This window comes from Homo sapiens, chromosome 13, assembly GCF_000001405.40.
Source record: "Homo sapiens chromosome 13, GRCh38.p14 Primary Assembly".
In the NCBI taxonomy this organism is placed as follows: Eukaryota; Metazoa; Chordata; class Mammalia; order Primates; family Hominidae; genus Homo; species Homo sapiens.
In genome coordinates this window covers 57609129-57614402 of record NC_000013.11, presented here as the reverse complement: position 1 = coordinate 57614402, position 5274 = coordinate 57609129, and positions in this window count along the sequence as shown.

Genomic DNA, 5274 nt, shown 5'->3' with positions numbered 1-5274 from the left:
GTCATTAGCTGGATCATAGAATTAAAAATAATGTATGAGATACTAAACTGTCATAAGCAAAAGTACTTGCTGTTAAAAAGTTTTAGTTACACTTTTCGTGGTTTAATCACTACAATGAATGTAATATTTACATTTCCTTGAACTGTTATAGAGATTCCATGTCATAAATGTGCTAAGTTTTCTATAACGTATAGATGATAAATGATTTGATTGGTAGGTTAAATGAAGGGGTATATATTTAATGCCACACATAGGGCAGCAGTAGGTACTGAATGGATGCCTTTGATCTTTTTCTCTCTAGCTTTTCTTAAATTCTTCTTTTATTATTTTCTTTGGGCACAATAGAAATGGTTAAAATGGCACAGGTGATGTTAGAATGGTACATAAGATTGGCATAAAGTTGATTGGATATGGATATAAATAGTAGTAACATGGTTTGAAAGATAACATTACTGTATAAAAGATCAATTAAAACTTGAGTGAGCATTATGTTATTGAACTGAATATTGTTTATCTCCTTGCTATCATAATGAAAAAAGAAAAAAAAATACATGACTGTATGTTCCATTCAGTAATATGCCAACAAACTTCTGTTTTTAAGTCCAGTTAGGATTATACCTATTTTTAATGACCTAAATATAATAAAGCATCATTTATGTCCCAACATAGGAATCTTATAAATAAATCTAACAAAATTAAAAAGTGAAATGGAAGGCAGTAAATACAAGAAAACTGAATTATCCATCAACGATTTCACTGTGCAGTTAAAAACAATATGCATTATAACATACAAATTTTTAAAATGTGGATTTGAAAAATTTGTAATTATAAGCACAAATATGTAATCATGATTAGACCCAATTTTTGAATTTTTCTTACATTTTTATTGATTTTACAAGAATAAAGATACTCTTGGATTTCAACTTCAAGAAAAATACTGGTCCAAAATATACTTATTAACAGATTTTGAATTCATAAGTAAATTTTTTTTCTATTTTTTAGCTTGTAAACTATTTAATGAAAAACAAGGCTTCCAATTACAGTTGCAAAAGGACAAAAAAAACTCACATAAAAACATGACTTAAGAATAATTTTCAACTTTAAGCAGACCATAGTCATTTTATATAATTTGCAGGTGTCATTTTAGAGACACAATAAACTATGTACCCAATTACATTCCTTTTTCAGACAACAGTTTGCAATCAGGAGAATGTGTGATGAGGTTTAATCAAAGATTAGAACTTTTTAATTAAATAGGGCCTTTTGTGACTAGTCATTTGACATTAATTACTGTTTTAGTTGGATTCCTTTTGATTTGTAAAGGGCCCTGAGCACTGCAAAAATTATATTGCATCACAAAAATTGTTGATAATTAAAACAAAAGCTTGTCTTCATTAGCCCATCATACACCTTAAAAAGAAACATCATTTTAAATGTTAAATGGCTGCCTTAAATAAACAGACTACAGGGTTTTAAAGAAAAAATAACAGATGGCATGTCAAGCCAGTCGCTTTGGATGGACAGTTTGAAAGTTGTTAATTGTAATGATTTATAAGCTGTTTTGAAATGTTCAATCACACTTTTAGGGGCTAACTAATGGTAAGAGGTGTATGTGCAGTTCTAAAGGCTCAACACTCCTCTGGGAATCATAAACCTAACTCATATACTACTGCTATGAATAGAAGTCATCAATCAAACTTAATGGTGAAACAGAAACTGACCTAAAAGTTCAAATAATATTTTTATTTGTGGGCTCATGGAAAATAAAACAAAAGTTAAACTCTTTGTAAGAATTCTAAATCTAGGTATCAATAGAATGCCCATAATAAAAACTACTATTCATCTCTCTGATTCGGAGTATACATGCACGGGGTATTCAAATTAAAAATATTCAAATTAAAGTGATTTAAATATCAATGAACTAATTTGTCTCAAAGTAATCTGAGAAAAAAGCAAGAACCTAGAGAAATAAAGGTAATTAAAAATAATAATAATGTGCTGTGTTTATGTAAGTCTATAGTGATTTGACCTGTACCGACATGGACACTGAGTTGTATTTCCAGTTGGGATAAACGAATCACATATGTTCCATTTCTGGCTGCCTCGTAATAAAGGGCATTCAATTTTAGCACAATTTGCCTTAGTTTAGTGTTATGGTCTGTTGGCAGAGTAAAACTAATTGGCCCGAAAACTGATGTCACCCATGCCCTTGGCTTCATTAGCAATGTGCACTAACCACCTGAGTAAAATAGACATGGTGTTAATAAAACTGAACTTGAAAAATGCCTACTTATATGAACAAAAGATAAGCAATACCGAGAATGAAACATGTTGTGACTAATTTTGCCTTTATTACTCTATGTGTAAAAGCTAGTTAGCTAAAATGTGTTCAATATAATTGTACTCAACTACCTTAAGGAAAAAAATTCTCACAACAGTAAAAACTATTTAAATTATATCAATAACTTAGGCCACTTCAATCTCTATCTAAATAAAAACTTTAAATACAAATTTATAAAAGTGGATAATCTATGTTGCTTCTAGATGTACAGGATGTGCATTTAGACTTTTATTAGCAAATATTCCAAGTTTATATTTTATTCTATTTTCATGTCCAATGGAGAACTTCGTATGAAAACATCCCAGAGAGGAAATTAATTGCTCATTATGGTAAATAGCTTGAGAGTGTTGAGGAGATTTTATTGACCTCACTCCTCTCATCTCTAGCCCTGGGATTAAACAAGCTGGAACCACAACAAAGGAAAGCTATGTGCCAAATTTTCCAAGATAATAATTAGGTAAATGGACTGTGCCATTGTGATATGTCCAAGCTATCATGAAAACAGACATTATATTTAGCAATCTGCAGAAATGTAAAAGTACAAAATTAAAAGACTAAAGCAAAATTTACAATAAATCATTAATAATAGTCATTTATTTTTCGCTACTTACCAATTTACACATATCATGCCATTTAATCCTCTCAACACTTTGAAGTCTGATTGTCCACATTTTACAGATGAAAAAAATCAGAGGTTAAAAAACTTTACAAGATTACATAGTTAGCATGGTCTACTTAATTTAAAATTAAAGTAATATTTGAAAAAAATTTTAAGATTAAGAAATAAGATTGGAAAGATTAGCTTCAAATGCACTATTTGGTAATGTAATAAGTAGATTACATTTATCTTAAATGTTGAGATATTGCCTAAGATATGGAAAACTGAGTAGAAAAATACAAGGCAAGAGACATAGGGTTGAAAGAGACAATGACATTAGAAATGTGTTTGTACATAGAAGTTTCATAAGAATGGACCAGGAATTCTTTCCTGAGTATCTGTGTATTTAATCATAGCCTGTCCAGCTCACCTCAGTAATTCCTGGCCAGCCTTGGCCACTGGGTTCCACTTTGGCTTTTTGTCTGGTGCCAGTATCAAGGATGTATTACTGTCATTGTCTATCCTTCATGCTCTTTCTCACTCACATAAACATAAATGCCTCTGGAAAAATCAAGCTTCCAGCCCTTCTTTTACCCTTTACAAAAGAATTCCACAACTCCATTTGGTTAAATATAAGCCCTCATGTGAAGGGAATTCTGTTTTTGGGTTCTAATCTCTATTCTGCTGTCTAGCCTACTCCTGTAGGTCCCACAAGCTCCCTTTGGAATCAGTCATACAAATTCCCTTTTGTTTAAATAAAACCAAAGCTTTTCATTAATATTCCTTAAGATAACATTCTCTTGTCCCCTTTAATAACTATGTTCAGGAATTTTGTGCTCTTCATTTGTGGTAGGAACACTGTTAGTGGTTCTTTCCAAGGGTTTTTGCCTTGTAGATTAAGAAACTAGGAGACAAAAATAGCAAACTCAACAAAATTCCTGTGAAATATAGCAATCCTCTGATTCCTGTTGTCTGTAGATAATCTATAATATTTAGGCTTGGGGAGAGAACCTTTCTCATTTCTCTTGTAAATAAAGGAACTGATTCCATATCACTCATTGATAGCAGCAATCTTTGGCAGAGCATTAATCAGAACAAGGTTAAACTAAGAAAAAAAATATTCATCTTGGTGTCAAACTCTACCACTACTAATTTTTCCTTTTTTGGTAGAAGAGCTGATGACCTTGCACTTTATCTAATTTTGCTCCCCAGGAAATGAAGAAAAGCTAAAAGATAGAAATAATAGTTTTTGTAAAAAACCTGATTTCATAGTCTTGCGAATACATTGGTGTTTTAAGTTTACAATTGCAATTAATTCTATTTCTGTGTACCCATGAAAGACAGGCTCAGAGATAATCTAACCACATAAAACATGAAATAATTAAAATTACAATTTACATGTTGCACTGCATTTAAAAGTAAAATGGTGATAATTTTTTTATTCAGTGTTTTAAAACTCAGAGATACATCTTATTAAGGACAATTAAACATAAAATCAATAATTATCATAAGCATGTTTACAATTGAAATAATTAAACTATTTTTCCCTTAAAAAATGTATTTGGGAAAACAACAAAATTAAAACTGCATTTGGTATTCTTTGCATTACTTATTTTCCCGTATAAAGCCTATCAGTTAAAATGATGAATTTTAACCTTTTCCATTTCTCCGAGAGAACACTTAATTCATATTCTTCAAGCTTTCTGAAACTGGTTTCTCATACTGATGAAGAAATTATTGTTTTTATAATATTTACTAAGGCCCAGTTACTGAACCTTTCTCAAGGACATCCATTTGCTTTTAATGTGTAAATTTCTGAGAATCATTTTTTTTTGGGGGGGAGGGAAAGCATAGAAAAAGCATTAAAATATGCAGCTAATTGTGTAGTTTAATGAATTTGAATTAAGCCATAATACATTATATTAAATACAATGCATGTGGTGAATAGGAAATAAAAAGGTCATGATATCTAAGAACAGTAAGATCAAGAACTGGAATACTAATGGACAAAAATGTTTTGTATAAAATATTCTTTTGCTCTGAGTCCCAATTTTGTTTTTTCCAAACTGACTGTTCTTAAAACTGCTCAGTAATGCCAGCAATATGATTCTTTTGTGTTTTCTGACTCCAAGAAGGTACAGAATTAGGCTATACATTAAAAATGTGCTATTTTCAGAAATAATTAGTTAAAATATAATGTTCTGAACATTAATTATCTGAAAATGTGCACAATAAGCTATAATTTAAGAAGAATGACTTCTTGACTCTCTTTAAAATGACAGACATTGAAACATATTGCTCAGAATATGTTGACTCATCTAATGGAAAGTACAAC